General features: G+C 36.1%; 1 protein-coding gene across 6 annotated transcripts in view; it reads left to right on the top strand.

Annotated features, from left to right (window-relative positions):
- TAX1BP1 (Tax1 binding protein 1) overlaps nucleotides 1-22,407 on the top strand; it is a 90,395-nt gene that overhangs the window by 2,499 nt on the left and 65,489 nt on the right. For all 6 annotated transcript variants that reach the window (NM_001206901.1, NM_006024.7, NM_001362794.2 and 3 more), the window contains exons 2-3: nucleotides 6,647-6,815; nucleotides 16,160-16,262. In NM_001206901.1, the coding sequence (NP_001193830.1) occupies nucleotides 6,654-6,815; nucleotides 16,160-16,262 (265 nt within the window). In that variant the 5' untranslated portion in view covers nucleotides 6,647-6,653. The remainder of the gene's footprint in view (nucleotides 1-6,646; nucleotides 6,816-16,159; nucleotides 16,263-22,407) is intronic.

A 22,407-nucleotide genomic window follows, 5' to 3' on the forward strand; every position in this document is an offset into this window, starting at 1 on the left:
TCACAAGACAATAGTGGGGAGAGGGTCAGCAGACAAACACGTGAACAAAGGTCTTTGCATCATAGACAAGGTAAAGAATCAAGTGCTGTGCTTTTAGATATGCATACACATAAACATCTCAATGCTTTACAAAGCAGTATTGCTGCCCACATGTCCCACCTCCAGCCCTAAGGCGGTTTTTCCCTATCTCAGTAGATGGAACGTACAATCGGGTTTTATACTGAGACATTCCATGCCCAGGGACGGGCAGGAGACAGATGCCTTCCTCTTGTCTCAACTGCAAGAGGCATGCCTTCCTCTTATACTAATCCTCCTCAGCACAGACCCTTTACGGATGTCGGGCTGGGGGATGGTCAGGTCTTTCCCTTCCCACGAGGCCATATTTCAGACTATCACATGGGGAGAAACCTTGGACAATACCTGGCTTTCCTAGGCAGAGGTCCCTGCAGGCTTCCACAGTTTTTGTGTCCCTGGGTACTTGAGATTAGGGAGTGGTGATGACTCTTAAGGAGCATGCTGCCTTCAAGCATCTGTTTAACAGAGCACATCTTGCACAACCCTTAATCCGTTTAACCGTGAGTTTGACACAGCACATGTTTCAGAGAGCACGGGGTTGGTGGTAAGGTCATAGATTAACAGAATCTCAAGGCAGAATAATTTTTCTTAGTACAGAACAAAATGGAGTCTCCTATGTCTACTTCTTTCTACACAGACACAGTAACAGTCTGATCTCTCTTGCTTTTCCCCACACATACCCGGCAAATTTTTGTATTTTTAGTAGAGACGAGGTTTCTCCATGTTGGTCAGGCTAGTGTCGAACTCCTGACCTCTTGATCCGCCTGCCTCGGCCTTCCAAAGTGCTGGGATTACAGGTGTGAGCCACCGCACCCAGCCCATCACGTTCTTAAATTGTAGACCGCTGTTTATAGTTCTCACTGCAGCCATGTTTGTAGAATTAACCAGCAAATACCTTTTCCATAACAAAAGTAAAATTTTGGAATTCAAAGTTTCAACCTTTTTAATAATGTTAAAATAATCATGAAAGATCCTAATGATGCTCCTTGTATACTTCTTTTGGGGACTTTGTTGTATTCTTTTGGAATGGATATGTTAAATCTGGGCTTTATGCATTTCTGTCTTTTTAAAGCTTATTTTGTCCCAAATAAACCTTTAGAAGAAGATAAAAATGTCCTCTACCCTAATATGTGTGGGCCAATATCATAGCATTTTAGAAACCAACTTATAAAAATCTAAAAAGTAAATAAAAGTGGTGCGGGTGATACCTGGGCGGAATGTCTTGGCACTCAGGTGTAAAGGATTCTGGAAATAGGGATGTCTGCAAGGGTGCAAATTAATAGACTGGGGCTTTTGCTGTTGCCTCCTAGAAAAATTGCTGATTACATTTTTTGGGAGCAGAGGTCTGTTGAGAGTTGTTAGTCTTTCTTTTTTTGAGCCACAGTGTGAATAATTGGAAACTATTTGAATGCTGGACATTTTTTCCTTTCATATGTTTGTGTGTCCTATCGGATTAAAGTTTGGAGATAATTCTAAAGGTTTTTTAGCTGAAGATGTGAAAAACTTTCAGTAACTCTATCAACCATTACCTGAATTACAACACTTCTAAGGGTACAAAGCGTTCATATTCTAAAATGCAGTGTTTCTGCTACAGTGGGTCATATGTGGAGTGTTACTAATCTGTTTCATTTCTTTATTTGCTTTGGTTTTACTATTACAGAAATTTTCAAACATACACAAAGGAGAATGAACAGTAAAATGAACCGACACTTTACTAATCTTGTTTTATTACCCCCTCTAACATTAATTTTTTCCCCTGGAGTTTTTAAAGCAAATCTTAGACATCAAGACATTTCACTTACAGTTAGTTTAGTATCTTTATTTTTTTTTTTTTTTTTTTTTTTTTTTTTTTTTTTTTTTTTTTTTTTTTGAGACGGAGTCTCGCTCTGTCGCCCAGGTCGGACTGCGGACTGCAGTGGCGCAATCTCGGCTCACTGCAAGCTCCGCTTCCCGGGTTCACGCCATTCTCCTGCCTCAGCCTCCCGAGTAGCTGGGACTACAGGCGCCCGCCACCGCGCCCGGCTAATTTTTTGTATTTTTAGTAGAGACGGGGTTTCACCTTGTTAGCCAGGATGGTCTCGATCTCCTGACCTCATGATCCACCCGCCTCGGCCTCCCAAAGTGCTGGGATTACAGGCGTGAGCCACCGCGCCCGGCCTAGTATCTTTATTTTTTATTTTTATTTATTTTTTATTTTTGAGACGGAGTCTCGCTGTCACCCAGGCTGGAGTGCAATGGCGTGATCTCAGCTCACTGCAGGCTCCGCCCCCCAGGGTTCACGCCATTCTCCTGCCTCAGCCTCCCGAGTAGCTGGGACTACAGGCGCCTGCCACCTCGCCCGGCTAATTTTTTGTATTTTTAGTAGAGATGGGTTTTCACCGTGTTAGCCAGGATGGTCTCGATCTCCTGAACTCGTGATCCGCCCGCCTCGGCCTCCCAAAGTGCTGGGATTACAGGCGTGAGCCACCGCACCCGGCCTAGTTTAGTATCTTTAAATGATAAAGACTAGAAAAACACAGAATCACCATAATTATATTATCACACATAACAAAATTACCTTATTTTTGAATTCTAATTGTTAGGACTGGCAAATTATATTTAGTATTTATCTAAATTAAAAAGCTTAATTTGGCTTCATATGTTTAATGTACAGAAGTTCTTACTATGGTCTATTTTTCAGTAAGTTCACTAAGGCTTACATTTTTGGGCTAAAGTAAAACAAGTATTGGGAACCACTGGAAAAATACTACCACAAAAGTCAAATCTGCTTTGGGCTTGAAAAAGTTACAAGAGGAGTAAGTAAAGATAACATTGAAATGCTTCCCTGCCCCCACCCCATGTTTATTTTAGCTGTATACATAACTGAGTGCCCACTATATATTATTTATCTTTTTTATAGACATTAATGCATTCGCAAAATAATAAAATTGGAATTTAGACCAAAGACTTTATAATATACAGTTTACAGCATAACACACATAAAGAAATTCTAGAGGCATTGGAACTTGGGGAAGTGTAGTAGGAAACCTGGAAGAGGGCACTGTAGCCAGCATGTATAAGCATTTCTGATTTTGTTTCCCAGCCAAATGTGTCTGGCCCCTTAATTGTTGACTGGACGTTTCATACTTATCCTTGGCTTGCCTACTTACTATACTCCTGTTTGTAGAGGTGCACTTTAGAGAAGGGGAATCAGAATTTGACATGGTAAAGCTGCTTGCTTCTACTTTCCTTTTTGTGTAGGGAGTGTACTTCTCTCCAACTGAGAGGAGGTTTGTACTTTTTCTCAGGATGTTAGTGAAGCTACACTTCCCAGGCATTACCACAAGGTGATGCAGTGACTTTGCATATTATTTCTCCACTCCCGTGCGACCTTGACATTCTCAGTGAATTCCAACATTTTTGTAAGCTTGCCTAAGTCTGTTATCTGTAGGAGGAGTGAACCAGAGGAACTATGTGGGAATTAGAAATTTTATTATTTAAAATGGGTTGATAATGACATAATTATATTTGATTGCATTCATCCATGTAAACTTTTTAAATGATTAGTAGCTATATTGTAATTTAATAAGAGTAAAAAATGACAAGGTACTGGAATGACTTTTGTAAAATATTTCTATAATTATAGCAATGAAATTTTAAAAAGATTGGAGTGTTGGAGAGAGATTAATGAAGGCCATTAATAGGATAATCACAAATTATTTTACTTTTCAGACTTGTAACCATTGTGAATACTATATTTTAAAGTGAAATACTAGTGTTTTCTATTAGAAAATGTGAAATTCAGGGGAGGGTTTAAAAATGGAATTTCTTGTTAATAGGGCTATTTAAAACAATAGAAATAATACATTTATATATACTTGTAAAAATTCAAACAATAAATTGATGTAAAATTTAAGGTCCTTAAGTCTTCTTTTTACACACATCCCTTATAAGACTATTAACTCTATAGTGTATACTTCTTGAGTTCCTTTTGATGCATTTGTAAACATATACAAATACATATATGTATACCTATGTGCTATTTTGTACCTCAAAAACTTCAGTGAACTAAAAGTATAAGGTTGGATTGTGGGTTTTTAAAAAACTGTTATAATTGAGGTTAACAGAAGTTGAAACACTTTTGCCTTGTTTTATAAAAAAAATAGTTACAGCTTTGTTGGTTTAATTTATTTTAGGAAATGATATGTTAAATTTTAAGAAAAAAGTATTATCCTTAATCAGCTTTTGATTAAAAACATGGGACGTTTATTCTAAGCTAGTTTATTTCCTTCTTACTGAATATCTTTCTTAAAGGAAGCGTGACTATTCACTCACTTCATAGAAAAATATTATTCTCTTAATTCAGTTTTGGTAGTTGTATCTAATAGATGTTGGTTCTGTTGATTTAGCTATAGTTTCTTTTGTTGGTGTCTTGTAACCAGTAGTGAGTTTTTTTTTTTTCTTTTTTTTTTAAAGAACTGGAATTGGTGTTTTTTTTTTTTTCCTTTGTGAAGCCAGTGACTTGAGATAATCATTAATGACTTCATTAGTATCATGACCTCCCTGGGAGCCCAAATTAGCTCAGACAACTCAAAGAAACAAAATAATAAAACTCTTCAGTTATTTTAGGCAGAGTTCTCCAGTGTTTGTAAATGCTACCTGTTCATTTTTCTGATGGCTTTAGGTTACCAGGTAGAGAGTATTCATAGTTAAGTCTTTCCATGAAATATGGTTGCTGGTAGCAAAGTCCCTTTATTAGTGCAGAGGTAAAGGGGGATTGCTACTGAATATACTCTTTATCTTGGAATGCTTGCAAACCTCAGGTAGGGAGAGGCTGACAACTAGCCTGATACTCTACAGTGGTTTCCAGGTTCATGATTGACAGTCTCTTTTTGGGATATCCATTATATTCAGTAAAGCAGGACTTTGGCCATAACAGAAGCAGAGGGGACACAAGAAGAAAGTTGATATTTTTTAAAGTGCTTATTATTACAAAACTTTAAAAATTTGCCTTAGTATTTCAAACAGGTCAGCAAAAGAAACAGTTGTAAAAGCACACTGTTTTAGATCTTAGCAATAAGCCTTCTTACTAATGGCTAAAATATGAGTAGAGCCTTACTGCTGTGCTTGCTCTGTAGAAACTTCATTGATTTGTGAAGTAAATTAGATTAATTTGGTTAGCAAAAACCTTGCCCCAGTTTTCCCCATTATTACAGAGATGCCTGTTTTAATGACTCAAGCAAGTGCAGTCAGGACAGTCATAGTTTCTTATGTGTATTGTAGAATTAGTGATTGTACGGAGCCTGTGACAAACTCTACAGATTGCTTTTTTGGGTAAATCCTCATTTGTTTCTGTTTTCTCAAAAGTAGAGCACAAAATAGGGAAAACATTTGGATCTTGCAGTTTTTATAATCTGCTTTCACCATTCATCTGCTATCCAGTGCTTGGTGTTTACTAAGCCAGTGAGCGTTCATGAATCTCTAAGAGATTTTCAACAGTGTGTATTTTATTAACACTACACTTTTATTTTTATTTTTAAATATAAGTTTATTTTAATCAGTAAACATGTGGAAAGGGTACGTGAATACTAGAAGTTGAGGTAGGATCATTGATTGGACCTATGATGAAATGATAGGTTTGTTATAGGTGGAGAAGAACAAATAGGCTGAGCCATTTCAAGTAGACCAGCTAAGATTTTACATGGTTTGAGAGATTTGAACAAGCTTGTAACAGAAGCCCAAGAAGACAGGCTGGGTCTGGGATCTGTGGAAATGAGTGAGAGGTAGAAGTTGTTGGATAGTGGTTCTCTTTTCTGGTTGCATACAGGATTGAGATTACTTGGGGCGATGTAGGGGCAGGGCTATGTATATTCGTATACACACCCACAGACACACATGCACACACTCCCAGGCCCCAATCCCAGAAAGTTGTTGTCATCTATTTTTTTTTTTTAAAGGCCCCTAATGATTCTAATGTGTAACCAGGGTTGAGAAATGCTGGTCCAGGGGATTAGAAGGGCAGGAATGTAGGCACAGAGATGTTAGCGTCAGGTTTAGTTATAGGACCCCAAAACCTAGGGAGAGGGGAAGAGATGAATGGGATGGGCTAGGTTAGGGAGGAGAATGATGAAGCCCAAGGGTTCTACATAGGAAGGAAATGTTAATTGACCCATAGCCAGTAAAATACTGACTTTTAACTGTTCTTGTTTCTGTTTCTTAGTGTTTGTTACTAGGAGCCAGCAGGTTTATATTGGCAGCGTGTGCACAAAAACACCTCTGGTTCATTTGCTTTTGATTTAAATAGAAGCAGAGGGCTAGGCTTTCCAGGAGAGTTAATTTTTGGTTTTGGTTTTTTAACTTTTAAATGCCCATATAACTTTCTGAGCCAAATGGGTTTTAGTTATTTTTCCAGTTTGTCTGTATTTTTATATTTAATCAATTTTTAAGAAGTTCCAGTATTTACAAAGTATATATTTTCTTAATTATGACATGCAAATATTCATGAAACTTATATTAAATATTATGTATTTTCTGAAGGCATAAGTTTATTCTTAGTTGGTATAATTTAACTTGTATGAATTACTTGTTTCAGATTCACAATGACATCCTTTCAAGAAGTCCCATTGCAGACTTCCAACTTTGCCCATGTCATCTTTCAAAATGTGGCCAAGAGTTACCTTCCTAATGCACACCTGGAATGTCATTACACCTTAACTCCATATATTCATCCACATCCAAAAGATTGGGTTGGTATATTCAAGGTAAGAAAGCTTTCTGAATATGTTCTCCATGTAAACACTTAAAATTTTCTTTTAAAACAGATTGATAAGTAGCTTTTACTTGCCTTAACTCTGCATTAAGACTCATTTTTGTAAACATCACCATGAAATATTTAACAGTGGGGAGTAGATAAAATGGATGTTGGGAACTCCATTTCACCAGATTTTCCTCTCCCTGATCAGAAAGTTTACCTTCACTTAAGGACTTGTGAAAATTTTTTCAGAATCTTCTTTTCCTATTTTCTCCATTCATTACCTGCAATAAAAAAAGATCTTTTTCTTTGGGTTCTTATATTATTTACCATTTTTTCCAGTCATTTGAAATTAATTTTATACAGCTTGACAGCCATGTTATTATCCCTTCTACTGTCCTGCATGGCTTAAATATTGCTCAGATTGTATTACACAGTTTTAAGAGTATTCTGTTTGTATTACACAGTTTTAAAGTATTCTGTTTAACATGACTGAATAGTAAACTCTTTGATGGCAGGAGTTCTAGTTCTTATATTTTACCAGTGATTTTGTATAATACTTTCTTGAAAATGAAGGTGATCATTACAGTGGTACACCTCACTGTGCAGGACTTTTTCTGGCAATTTTAACTCTTCAAAATGTAGTGGAAAACCAAAACATAAGAATGTCCTCTGAGCAGTCAAAATAATGTCACGAATGTCCAAACAGTAAAACACATTCACTTTTCTCCTGTGTTATTCTGTAGTCTTCCTCAGAATCAGTTTGTTTTATTTTAGTTAAGATTTTTATGGGCTTGAAATTTTGATTGTCTAATCTGTATAAAGTTAAACAACAAGGAAGAAAGAAATGAATAGCTGCTAGAAATTAGGCACATTGAAAGTGTCTAGAAGTAAAAGTCCAGCCTGACGGGAAGGCAGAAAAACATTTGGACAAAACAATTTTGGCATTTAATGACTTAGTTCCTTTCTTTGAATTCCTCATTTCTTGATGTTTCTGAATACAACACAATAGTTATTTACTGTTTACTTTTTGTGTCAGTTTTTTAGGCTTGTCAAATCCCAAAATGGAGAAACATTCATTGTAACAATTTTATGAAATTAGGAGTAGTTTTTAAATTTTATTTCTTATTTTTTGAGACAGGGTCTTATTCTATCACTCAGGCTGGAGTGCAGTGGTGGGATAGTGGCTTACTGCAACCTGACCTCCTGGGCTCAAGTGATCCTTTCCCCGCAGCCTTCCAAATAGCTGGGATTATAGACACAACACCACGCCTGGCTAATTTTTAAAATTTTTTGTAGAGACAGGGTCTCACTATGTTGCCTAGGCTGGTTTTAACTTCCTAGGCTTAAGTGATCCTCCTGTCCCAGCCTCCCAAAGTGCTGGGATTACAGGTGTGAGCCACCGCACCTGGCCTCAGTAGTAGTTTCGATTTTATGGGAGATACTGGTATCAAGTTAAAGATACTGATTGAGAACTGATGTTTTCTGTAGTAACAGAGCAGAGAGGAAGAAAACAGAAATGTGACTGAGGAAAAAGAAGGGCATTTCCAGCAGGAAAATGGTACAGGTTGAACATCCTAAATCTGAAAATCTAAAATCTGAAATGCTTTAAAATCCAAAACTTTTTGAATGCTGACATGATGTGCAAAGGAAATGCTTATTGGAACATTTTATGTTTTGGATTTGGGATGCCCAACCAGTAGGTATAATGCAAATACTCCAAAATCTGACAGATTTAGAAATCCAAAGCACTTCTGGTCTCAAGCATTTCGGATAAGGGATACTGAATCTGTATAAGCAGAGGCTTAGAGGTAGGAATGTTCATGAGAATGAGTAAGTCAGTTTAACTAGAGCATAAGCTTCAGTTAGGGAAGTTGTGGGAGATGAGATTGGAGATAAGTTTCATTCTGTCTATGGACGACCTTCAGTGTTAGAGAGTTTATGGACTTTTTTCTGAAGGACAGTGGGAAGTCTTTGTATATGTATAGGTTGTTTGAAAAAGTATGTTTCAGGAAGATGAATTATTACCTTTTTCCTGCAGACTACTTGTTTATTTCTTATATTTTTTCATTTTTTTAAAGCCAAAAGACTGTGACTTTCCCTTCAAATCCAAACAATCAGTTCTAACCATTTTACTGCTTACATATTTCTAAATCCTTAATATCACTAGTTCATGCCTTCCATATTTTTTACCAAGACTATTGCAATAGGTCAGCTGTTTTACCCACTTTCATTCTTGTCCTCTAACCTTTGTTTTTTAACTGCTCTATATAAGCTGTAAAATGGAAACCTGAACATGTCTTTCTGTTGTTTGAAACTCTTCATTGGTTCTTCATCATCTGTAGAATAATGCCAAGACCAAATAACCTAGAGCCATACAGGGCTCCTGTATAAGATTTTATTTCCAGCTTCAGTTTTGGTCATTCCTGCTGCTGCCTTTTTGCTTTGGTAATGCTAAACTATACTTCTTTCATTGTGCACTTTAAGGATTGTAAGTTTTCTCTCAGCAAAAAAGAAAAAAAAATCTTCTGTTTAATACCCTTTCCATCCTTTTTGCCAGCATAAAACTTTAAAACTCAATAGGAAGTTCAGGCATGTAGTAAAGATTTCAGGTAATACAGGAAGGCTCAAGGAAGAAAATAATCATGCTTAACACTTTTACCTACTGTTAACTATTGTTAACATATTGGTATATAGCTACATGTAATAAAATTACAAATAATTATACACATGCATAATGTGTGTATAATAAATATATACACACATACTACTGATGCATCATAGTGTGTGTATATATTCGTTGAACCAGTTTCTTACTATTGGAATTTACATTGTTGCTAAATGCTTATCATTAATACTTAATAAAGATCTCTACCTATCTTTATTTTGTCTACTTATTTCATAAGGTAAGTTCTTGGAAGTAGAATCACCATGTTTATGGCATTGTTTGTTTTTAAGCACTTTATGTGTACTGCAAATTGCCCTCTAGAGTGATTTTGATAGACACCATATTGACAAGCAGGCAGGAAGAGAGTGCCTGGGTAGCAATTGTAAGGGAGGAGGAATGAAGATGGGAAAGTAGTATGCTTGAGAAAGTGTTAAGGAATTTGATTTGCCTGGGACAGCTATCAATTAAAAATTTATTATTATTATTTTTTTAGAGACTGGGTTTTGCCATGTTGCCCGGGCTGGTCTCGAACTCCTGGGCTCAAGCGATCCACCCGCCTCAGCCTAAATAAGTGCTGGGATTGCAGGCGTGAACCACCATGCCCAGCTACAGATACCAGTTTTAGAAGATGAATGGGAAAAGTTAGTTTGGATCATGTTGTAGATTGTTTTAATATTTGAGGGATAGTTTTTAAGTAAGGAGTAATAAAGTTTAGAAGTGAAGCTTAATCTTATAGTGCTGAGTAAGATAAATTGGAATTCGAAAGGAATGGAGGTAAAGAGAACGTTTAGACTATCCTAATTTTCTATGTGAGATAATGAAAGCCTAAAGTGGAGAAGGAAGTAAGTTGTGTGTAATAATCCATAAGTAGAATTCATAGGATATGTCAACAGTCAATTGAATTAGAACTGGCACTCATTCTATGGCATCTCAGTAAGGAGGAGCAAGGTCATATGTTAAAAGTTGGGGAGGGCTTGAGTATAGATAATTGGTCTTGCTACTGTGGAATAATGTCATAGGGAATCGGAGTGGCTTAACCAGAAGATTACTAAGCAGCAATTTTATGACTTTTTCCAGAGAGATTCAGCATCTGGAGTTGTGTCAAGAGTGCCAGAAGTGGCTGTCATTCAAATTGGGTGTTGGAAAAGGGTGGGAATGGGAAGGGAAGTTAAGAGGACAAAGGATACTATGGTGGTTTTGAGTACATTATTGAAATGATTGACTGATAGTGAAGTCCAGGTTGGGTAGGGAAATGAGTGAAGCCAAACAAGGGATATAGACTGGGTTGGAGGTTTTTGTTCCTTTTAGTTTTTTCACTCCCTCTGAAGTATTGATTGATTAGTTTTAATTATAATGAAAATAAACATTTAACATGTTGGGAATTTTATACATTCACCTCTCATCTGAGCATTATACTCCCTGTTTTACAGATGAGGGAACTGAGGTTCAGAGAATAAAGTGACTTGTTCAAAGTTATCCATTATACGTTGGAGCTGAGATTTGAACCTTATGTAAATTGGCATTCAATAATTATTCTCTGGTTGTTTGGTTAAGTGAGAGATCTGATTATTCAAAATTAACAACAGAGTTGCTAATAAGTTCAGCATGGATTTTCTTTAGTGACAGAATTGAAGTAAAATTACAGGGAAAGATTTAGAACTGCACCTGATGCAGGCTGGGCACAGTGGCTCACGCCTGTAATCCCAGCACTTTGGGAGGCTGAAGTGGGCAGATCACTTCAGGTCAGGAGTTTGAGACCAGTCTGGCCAAAATGGCGAAACCCTGTCTCTACTAAAAATATAAAAATTAGCCGGGTGTGGTGGTGCATGCTGGTAGTCCCAGCTACTCAGGAGGCTGAGACATGAGTATCGCTTGAACCCAGGAGGTGGAGGTTGCAGTGAGCAGAGATTGTACCACTGCACTCCAGCCTGGGCGACAGAGCGAGACTCCGTCTCAAATAAAAAAATAAAAAGAACTGCACCTGATGCCATATCTTTATTATTAAACCAACGTTAATTGCAGTAAAATACTATATGTTACATTATATTTGAGTTTTGTTCCGTTTTGTGTTTATGAATTTGATTTGGTCTTAGTTGTATAAGTACATAAGCATGAGGAATTGGTGTATGTTTAGATTTATGCTTAGTACAAATTAAATTACCTTACAGTTAAAGATCCCCAGTGGATGCCTGAAATTACAGGTAGTACTGAACTCTATTTACACTGTACTTTTCTGATACAGTCATACCTATGATAAAGTTTAATTTATAAATTAGGCACAGTAAGAGTTAACAACAATAACTAAAAATAGAACAATTGTAACATGAAATTGTTATATTACCTGATACCCAGCCTGCATCATTAGCAACTCTGTTGCTAATTTTGAATAATCAGATCTTTCACTTAACCAAACAGCCGGAGTAAAAGTTATGTGAATGTGGTTTCTCTCACTCTCAAAATATTAAAATATCTTATTGTACTATACTCACTTATTTTGGGGTCTTGGTTGACCTTAGGTAACTAAAACCACACAAAGTGAAACCTTAGATAAAGGATGACTACTGTAGTAATGTTAAAGGTCCATGAGTTTTTGTTTTTTAAACTTTAGAGTCTTAGAATTCTCACATCTCTGAGATACTGTTCTAATTGGAATTCTCACATCTCCGAGATACTTTTCTAGTTGAGGAAACTGGAAGTGCAAAGTGGTCATGTGACATGTTCAAAGTCACATTGCTAATGCATAACATGTCCTATACTAGACAAACAAAACCTCCCTGTAAGGTACTGTTTTCACTGCATCCTGCTGTCAAGCACATCAAAAACTAAGTTGCCTGATTAGAAGGTGGATCCAAACAGTGATTTTATGCTTGAATATCCTGTTTCAAGCTTTTGTTTCTTTGTTCCTTGTTTTTCCTTTTCAAATTTTTTTCCTCCTTCTTCTCTTTTCCTGCCTTGGTCTCCCCTTCAGTCCTGTCTCATTCCACTCATTTTCTGTTTTTAAAAAAAGTCCTCTGGTTGTAAAAAAAAATTACAATTATAATATATATAATATATAAATATTTATAATTATACTTATTTATAATTATAAAATTAAAATGTCCTACAGTCCCACTACCCAAGTATATCCCTACCTAATTAATATCAATGGTTAGCACTGTTAATGTTTTAAGTATTTCCTTCCAGCCTTGTTTTATTAATGGAAGGAGACTTTCAGTCTTTTTTGTTTTTTGTTTTCGTTTTTGTTTTTTGAGACAGTCTCGCTCTATCGCCGAGGCTGGAGTGCAGTGGTGCGATCTTGGCTCGCTGCAACCTCTGCCTCCTGGGTTCACGCCATTCTCCTGCCTCAGCCTCCTGAGTAGCTGGGACTACAGGCACCCGCCACCACGCCCGGCTAATTTTTTTAAATTTTTTTTTATTTTTAGTAGAGACGGGGTTTCACCGTGTTAGCCAGGATGGTCTCCATCTCCTGACCTCGTGATCCCCCCACCTCAGTCTCCCAAAGTGCTGGGATTACAGGCGTAAACCACCCCACCTGGCTTGTCTTTTTTCTAATGCATATATTTTGAATGTTGCTGGCATATCTCATGCCTTTTTTAATGCCGTGATTTTTTCACTTAATCACTTACAATTAGTTCTGTACCATTTTATCTCATTGAGGAATTTATGCTGTTTATGATATTTCTCTTTTGAATCAATGTTGCATACTCCCTGTGTATATCTAGGCATTTTTGCAGTCATTTTTTTCCTAAAGGAACTTTTCTAGTAACATGATTTTTAGAAGCTACATTGTATACAGAAGAAGGAAAATGAATGCTTCTACCCATTGTACTCCTACCTTCCCCAGTGATGTCTGTTGTTGTATGTTTCTGGATTAGAAAAATTCATAGGCTCATTTGATACTTTTTTGTGGGCGTTTTTCCTCACTTAATTATATTTCTTGGGAATCCTCCTATATCCATATGTAATCAGCTCATTTATTTTCAGTGCCTTTCCTACTCCAAGGCTTGTCTCCCTTTATTCATCTCCAAACATCAGTCCCCTCTTCTCTATTTCTTTCTTTCTTTCCAAGTGGTGTCTCATATGCTTTCCTCAACCTAATGTTTCTGTCTTTTTCTCAATGTTTCTCCAGGATTTATTATCTTGATGTTTTTCTAGGTAACTTTGATGTTATTCTGGTCTTCTGTATGTTCTTTCTCAGAATTTCCTTTATGATCAAAACTTATCCAACATGTTTTTCTGAAATGTTAATCCTATTTAAAAGGAACACTTTGTGGCTTTCTCCCTTCTCTGTCACCCTTGTTTAATTTCCATTTTCTCATTTATTTTGCTGTTGCAGTAGTAACAAGAATGATGCCCACTGCTGTTGTAATTCTTCAAACTAAAGTATGTGACATATTCATTGCTTTAGTTTCTCTCTTAACATACATACAGCCTCCAGTGGTATCTGTGACTACAATTAACTGGTTAACTAGATTCAGGTATATCTCCTAGAAGCAATGTATTTTGGCAGTTTTATATAACTGGTATTTTGTCCCATTGTCCAAAGTGTTGCCATGTTCTCCCTGCCATTTTTCAATGTTTGAAAATTGCTGTTATTAACTTTAAGTGTAATAATTTTCTTTACACTTGGTAATGGTGGACTAAAAGACAAGATTTCTTGCATTTCAGTGTGTCCTGTAGCATTGAGCAGCAAGTTCTAGCCCGGTGACCAGGAAAATAAAACAGAGAATCAACCTTTGGTTTGGACACATTATGGTTTATTGACCCTTCTAATTAGATTTATTATTATTGCAGTGGACTCCTGCATAATTTCCTGATGTTCATCTTTTGTGTTCCTTCCAGTATTATCCACTCTAGCATACTTTCATGTGGGAGCTTAGATATAAGACAGTTACATCCCAAAGGAGCCCATTCTCTGTATCTTTCCAGGTTGAGAGACTTCTACATTTATTTTTTATGTATGCCCAACATGCCCCTCTCTAAGTAACTTAAGAACTATTGTTTAGTTTTAGTTTTCCTTACTCAAAAGCAATTTGAAGTGTAGTTCTATATTTCTGACTTTTTACTCAGGATTGTATCTTGCCCCCAACTTCTTGGTAGGCTCAGTTCTCAGGCTGCTAACAAGCACTTATGTGATAGGCACTGTGCTAAATACAGGGATGAACTCACTTAATACAGACACAACCTTTTGAGACTGTTTTTGTTATCAGAGGAGAAAATAGAAATGAATAACTTTTCCAAAACCATACAGCTAGCAAATTATCTTTTCTGGTATTCTGACCTCACACCCTATGCTCTTAGTTATTACAAAATACTACACCTATAATAACTACCATTCATGGAGTGTTTGCCATGGATTAGGCACTTCAGATGCTGCTTTTAGGTTCATTACCTAATTTAATTCTTCCAACAACTGTGAAAGGAAAAAAATGGGCTCAAACAGGTGAGGTAAATGACTTGTTCACTGATTCCTCAGGTTTCATATCCGTAAAGAGATGAATAGTGTCAAATGTTTTTTACCTTGACACAGAACAAAGTAAATTGTAAGATTTGTCCCAGCATGCAGATACACCAGAAACTAAATTTCATGAAACACTTACCCTTAATATACTCCAGTACTTTCTCTTCTATATAATTACAAAATAAATGCCAGTCATGAACCACTAAATTGGTTTTATCACTTCTTACTGGGTTTGTAACCTGTAGTTTCAACCATTCCTTTGGAGGCTAAAGGTGACTAAGGTTCGTCCAGCTTCAGTATTCTGTTGTCTACAATCAGGCCAATCAGAATCATAGAACATGGATAATCTAACCTTGTGGCTGATGCATAAATTTTTGTAATATTCCTAGCAAATGGATATCTAGTACCTGTTTTAAACATCTCCAATTTTCAATATTTAACATGGTATTTAGTCCATCTGGAAAATACAGATTGAGGTATGTATATATTCATGTTGTAAGTAGAAAATGTGTTAGCATTAGGTGAGACATGGGTGGTCTGTTTGTGCATATATAAACATCTTGGTGCTAAAGGTCTTTTTACAAAATTTGCCAATTGGCTGCAGGCAAGACTTGCCAAAGATGAGAGATTAGTGAATTTAGTGGATTTAGGGGGAGGCAGATGTCTAAGTAAAACAAATAAAACACTTACATTGGAGGTATAAATTAAGTTTTTTGAATTTTGATATATGTGAAAATTCTTCAGAGGTGAATTTGTAATGCATGTCTAATATTTTAAATATTAATTTTCTTTAGTCTATAACTCCCTCAGTTGTTGGATCTGCTAGACATTCAGTATGTGCCACCTTTGAAAATAATACTCTGTGGTCAATAAAAAATAAATAACAAGTATTTAAAAACTCACTGTGTTTAGTGAAATTAAATTTTAATCAAAACACATTTTTATATTTGATCATATGGATAGTTAGATTATCCTTGAGAAATTGGATAGCAAATTGCATTTTAATATAGTAGAAACTCTACTATTCAATTTATGTAGATTTTTATAGCATTAGGCTGTAGTTTAATTTAGAAATAATTTGACATGCTTGTTAAAATACTCATGATTTGTAAACATATTAAATGTATATTTTAACTGTAAAATACAATAAATAAACAGTATGCTGTATGAGCCTAATATTAAACTATTTGCTTATAAATCCGCCTTTTTTGTTATTTCCCTTTAGGTTGGATGGAGTACTGCTCGTGATTATTACACGTTTTTATGGTCCCCTATGCCTGAACATTATGTGGAAGGATCAACAGTCAATTGTGTACTAGCATTCCAAGGTAAGGACTGAAAACTGCAGAACTCAATGAAACTAGATGTCTTATTGCCATTAAAGATGTTGTACTCCATTGTAATGATTTGTTCAGGTATCTCCAGGGTACCAAAGTTGAATTAGTTAGTGTCTTTACTTAGCAAAAGCCCTAAGAATGTAACTGTCTGGTGTAGGCCACATGATATTTTATGTAGACATTTAAAAGTTATTGGTTGTTGTCTTAACTTTCACTGAAGAGTGGGTTTCTTTTTAGGTACTAATTTTTGGAGATTTTTTTTTTTCAAGTGAGAAAACAATACAATAGTAATAACAGATATTAGAATAATGTAACAAAAAAGAGGTGAGGAAAATAGTCCAGATGCAAACCACAAACATGATTAACAGAACTTATAGTTATTTGAATTCTGTCATGTGTAAGTTCCTTTATTATAAAATGATAAAGTAATATAAAATTCATTTTTGTGTTAGCTTGGCATTATTTACAAAATTTAAAAAATACTCTTATTCAGGTAATTCTGACATATGCTACAATATGGGTGAACACTGAGGATGTTATGATAAGTTAAATAAGCCAATCACAAAAAGAAAAATACTGCATAATTCCGCTATATGAGGTACTTAGAGTAGGGATAGACACAGAAAGTAGAATGGTGGTCTGCAGGGCATTCAGGTTCCCTCAAGGGAGGAATGGGGAGTTATTGTTTAATGAGGGTAGAGAGTTTCAGTTTTAAAAGATGAGAACAATTTTGGAGATAATGGTGGTGGTGGTTGCACAACAATATGAATGTGCTTAACATTGAACTATACACTTTAAAATGCTTGAGATAGTAAATTTTATGTGTTTTTTAGCACAACTTAAAAACTTGAAAAAAAAATAACACTTATTCAGAGATCTATCACAGAATTTGCTGCAGAGTAATTTTGTATTATAATTGTACTGACTTTAGGATTGTATTAAAGTGAATTCTTACCCTTGTATATGTCATAGATTTCTTTTGGTCTGGTGAAGTTTATGGACTCTGTCTCAGAATAATATTTTAATGTATATAAAATAAGACATAAAATTGCAAAGAAAACCAATTATATTGAAATAATTAAAATATCACAGTAACAAATTTTTGATATATTAATACATGTGCTTCAAAATCTGTGTGTTAACAAGATGTATTTTATTGGCAGATTTAATCACTGCCATGATTTCCAAGTAAGATAACATTGAGATACCTGTAACAATTGTAATGTGGTATTAACATATAAGTAATTCCTGTTAGTGACAAAAATCACAAATACTGATAGTAATCAAAGTACATGCTAAAATTTTAGTTAGATGTTAGTAAAAATAAAAATATAATGTTTTTCTCCATTAAAGTTGATGGATGACCTGAATTTTCTGTATCCTTTAACCCCAAGTTGAACATTCCCTAAAACTGCCTCTTTGCTATTGAGAACTTTATTTGCCTTTATGTTTAAAAAAAAAAAATTCTAGGACTTTATTGCTTTCCCCTGGGGCTGGCTATTAATAATTAAGACTTTTTCCTCTGGGTTTCTCATATCTTTAAGCAATGGGCTCTGTTAAGAATGTTCTTATGTTAGCAGAAAGAAGTTTACATTGTATGAATCACTACTTTAAAAAAATGTGCTCAGGATTATGAGATGAATGATTTAAAATAAAGTTTATTGTCTCACACATTTTCACATATTTTAATGCAATTTTAAAATTTTGTAAATCTTTTTTTTTTTTTTTTGAGCCGGAGTCACACTGTGTTACCCAGGCTGGAGTGCAATGGTGTGATCTCAGTTCACTGCAATCTCTGCCTGCTGGGTTCAAGCGATTCTTGTGCCTCAGCCTCCTGAGTAGCTGGAACTACAGGTGCTCACCACCACGCTTGGCTGATTTTTGTATTTTTAATGGAGACGGGGTTTTGCCATGTTGGCCAGGCTGGTCTCAAATTCCTGACCTCAGGTGATCCACCCGCCTCGGCCTCCCAAAGTGCTGGGATTACAAGTGTGAGCCACCATGCCTGGCCCTAAATCTTTAAAATGAAACCCCAAATCATTTCTCCCTTATCTGATCTGGTTTACCATATTCAGAATGTTAAAAATTAAATTTGTTTTAACAAACTAAAAGAAAAACCTTTAAAAAACCAAACTATACTAAAATATTTATTTAATGAAAATACTTTGTTAGCATGCAAATACTTACTTCAGAAAGGAACCAAAAAACAGTTTGAATTTGGGATAAACATTTCTAGTATTATTTATTTTAGAATTTTTTTTTTTTTTTGAGACGGCTTCTTGCTCTGTCTCCCAGGCTGGAGTGCAGTGGCGCGATCTCGGCTCATTGCAAGCTCCGCCTCCTTAGTTTTCGCCATTCTCCTGCCTCAGCCTCCCAAGTAGCTGGGACCGGAGGCGCCCGCCACCATGCCTGGCTAATTTTTTTTGTATTTTTAGTAGAGATGGGGTTTCACCGTGTTAGCCAGGGTGGTCTCGATCTCCTGACCTTGTGATCCGCCCGCCTCGGCTTCCCAAAGTGTTGGAATTACAGGCATGAGCCGCCGCACCTGGCTGAAAAATTTTTACAGTGATCCCTCCCTTGAGTTTCAGTCAGTTTTTGTTATAGTCGCTAAGAGAGAGCATCAGCCTGTTTTAAGGGCAGCATAACTTGGAGCCTATGCACATAGCTTTGGTATAGTGATTTCCAAACTTAACTTTAATTTGGAATCCTGCGTGCTTTAAGACACACAGAAATTTATGTCCCACCTCCAGATGTTGTGATTTAATTGGTCTGTGGTATGGCCTGGGTTTTAGAATTTTGAAAAGATCAACAGGTGATTCTGTTATGTAGAAGTTTGGGAACCAGTGGCATGGCAGACAGTTTTCAGCAAATAATTGTTAACATTATCTAATTGATATGGTCTTATCTAAGTTAAAATGTCCTGTTTTTTTATCAGGCAATATCTGACTTGGATTTTGGTGACATGTGCAGAGCAGCCTTCTAAAATAACTAGGCTCAGATTAATCAGCTTCAGATAGTTTAATTTTAAAAAATTAACATACTTTTTTGGAGCAGTTTTAGGTTTACAGAAAAAATTGAATGAAAAGTAGAGTTCTCTTGCAATCCCTTACACCACCCTTCCCTGCTTTCCTTTATTTTAACATCTTGTGTGCTCCATTTGTTATAATTGATGGACCAATATTAATACACTATTATTGTCTGAGTTCATAGTTTACATCAGGGTTCACTGTGTGATGTAAATTCTGTTGATTTTGATGAATGTATGAAGACATATACCTACTGTTGCAGTATCATAAAGAACAATAACTTCACTCCCCTAAAAGTCTCCTGTGTCCCACCAACTCATCTCTCCTTCCCTCCTGGTAAAACCCTGGCAACCAGTGATGTTTTACTGTCCCCACAGTTTTGCCGTAAAATGTCATAGAGTTGGAATCATAACGATATGTAGTCTTTTCAGATTGGCTTCTTTTACTTAGCAACATGTGGTTAAAATTCCCTCATGTCTTTTAGTGGTTTGAATAGCTCATTTCTTTTATTACTGATTAATATTCTATTGAATGGATGTATCATAGTTTATGAATCTATTGAAGGAGATCTTGGTTGCTTCCACGTTTTGGCACTTACAAATAATGCTGCAATAAACACTCTTGTGCAAGTTTTTGTGTGGATGTAAGTTTTCATTTCATGTGAGTAAATACCAGGGAATGTAATTAATTAATTGTATAAGAGCATGTTCAGTTTTGTAGGAAACTGCGAAACTGTCTTCCAAAGTGGCTTGTACCATTTTATATTCCTACCTGCAATGAATGATGAGAGTTCCTGTTGCTCCACATTTTCAGCAGCATTTGATGGTGTCATTGCTTTGGATTTTGGTGGTCTGTTTGTTTAAAAACTTTTTTTCACTTTATTCTGAATTTTGCATATGTTTGGTCTAAACATTAATTGGCAATGTGAGTTCATGGAACTTGCATATATAAAGAAATTTCCTTCTGTTCTGTGCCAGGAAACCAGTATGCAGAGGATAAAACTTGTGGTGAAATATGGGCAATGATTTAGGTATTCATAGATGTTTTTTGGATAAGGAAATGTTGTAAGTTATATATGTAGTTTATCTTTTAATAGCCTTTTTTAGATAATAAAATTTAGGTGTGTATTGGAACCGGTTTTGTTACATTTAAAACTTCTTTCCTGAAAGCTGTTGGTTTATTTTTAGTCATTTTTATTGTGATTGGTTTCCCCTTAAAAAATAAGTTAACTGCCAGGTTAACTTATTTTTTAAGTGGTGACTCACACCTGTAATCTCAGCTGTTTGGGAGGTTGAGGCAGGTGGATGGCTTGTGACCAGGAGTTAAGAGACCAGTGTGGGCAACATAGTGAGACTCCATCTGTTGAAAAAAATTTATTCAATTTGTTATAGTGACTATTGCTTTTGTTTATTAGGGACTTAGGAGTAAGTTTAAAAGTGGTTAAAAAGTAGAGAAAAGCATCCAGTTTATTTCTGTTAATACTTTAAAAACATTTTTGGGCCAGACATGGTGGCTCACACTTCTAATGTTAACATTTTGTGAGGCCAAGGAGGATGGATTGCATGAGCCCAGGAATTTGAGACCAGCCTGGGCAATTTGGCAAAACTTCATCTCTACAAAAAATACCCCCAAAATTAGCCAGGCATGGTGGTGTACACCTAAAGTCCCAGCTACTTGAGAGGCTGAGGTGGGGAGGATCACTTGAGCCCAGGAGGCTGGGGTTGCGGTGAGCCGAGATTGTACCACTTCACTCCAGACTTGGCGACAGAGTGAGAACCTGTCTCAAAAATTCATGGGCACTAAGCCTAAATGCAATATGTTTTACAAGTTTCTGAAAATTCAACAGTTCATTTTTATTTTGAATTTTGAAATTCAGAAATAAAAGCATCTCCGTGCCTAGAACTTTTTTGTTATATAAGGAAGTCAGGGAAAGCTTAGTCATTGAATATTAGAGTTATAGAAGGGCTTTCAAGCATAATGCAAATCACTTTGCTCATTTTGTGGATGAGTAATGAGAATCCTGAAATGCAAAACCCAAAACATCTAACAATACCTAAACGTGATTGTTTTCCTAAATGAACCCTTATTTATTTATTATAATCTTGTTGAATACTAAAGGCACAGTCTGTAAAATTTGACTCGAAAATTTAGTTTTCACTTTTTCCCATTTTATTTTCAGTATCCATCTGACAAGTTTTTCCAGGCAGCTTTAAATTGCAGCTCTGAATAATTATGTCTATCTCAAATGGTTTTGAACCATATTTTTTAGCAGTTTATTTTAGTGAAGTTTTTGTTTTTTAAAGAATCAGACCTTGAGGCCGGGCACGGTGGCTCACACCTGTAATCCCAGCACTTTGGGAGGCCGGGGCGGGTGGATTACCTGAGGATAGGAATTCAAGACCAGTCTTGCCAACATGGTGAAACCCCGTCTCCACTAAAATACAAAAGAATTCGCTGGGCGTGATGGCGTGTGCCTGTAATTCCAGCTACTCGGGAGGCTGACGCAGGGGAATTGCTTGAAGCAGGGAGGTGGAGGTTGCAGTAAGCTGAGATCAGGCCACTGCACTCCAGCCTGGGTGACAGAGCGAGACTCTGTCTCAAAAAAAAAAAAAGAATCAGACCTTGAATACCTAGTTTGTACAGTTTCTAATGTCTTGATGCCAGAGCTGATTAATTATGCTATATATTTGTTTTCTAGTTAAGCTTTTAAATAAGCCTAGTGGCTATTTGGAAGTTGGTATGAATTAGTAAGTTTTTAGTAGCTATTAGGAGGGTGGATTTTTAAAATCTTTAAAAATGTATGTTGCCAGATACATGTCTATGATATTTATTTAAACTTTGTATTTTGAAGTAATTTTAGATGTAAAGAAAACTTGCAAAAGTAGTACACAGAATTTCTGTATGCCCTTTGCCCATCTTCGTGTCATGTGAGCATCTTACATGACCATGGTACATTTATTTAAGAAACCAATAGTTTAACAGTGGTACAGTACTATTGACTAAAGTACAAACCTTACTCAGATTTCACCAGTGTTTCCATTACTGTTCTTTTTCTGTTCTTAGATCCAGTCTTTAATTCCTCTTTGTATTTAATTGTCATGTTGTCTTAG

This window comes from Homo sapiens, chromosome 7 (assembly GCF_000001405.40).
Source record: "Homo sapiens chromosome 7, GRCh38.p14 Primary Assembly".
Lineage (NCBI taxonomy): Eukaryota > Metazoa > Chordata > Mammalia > Primates > Hominidae > Homo > Homo sapiens.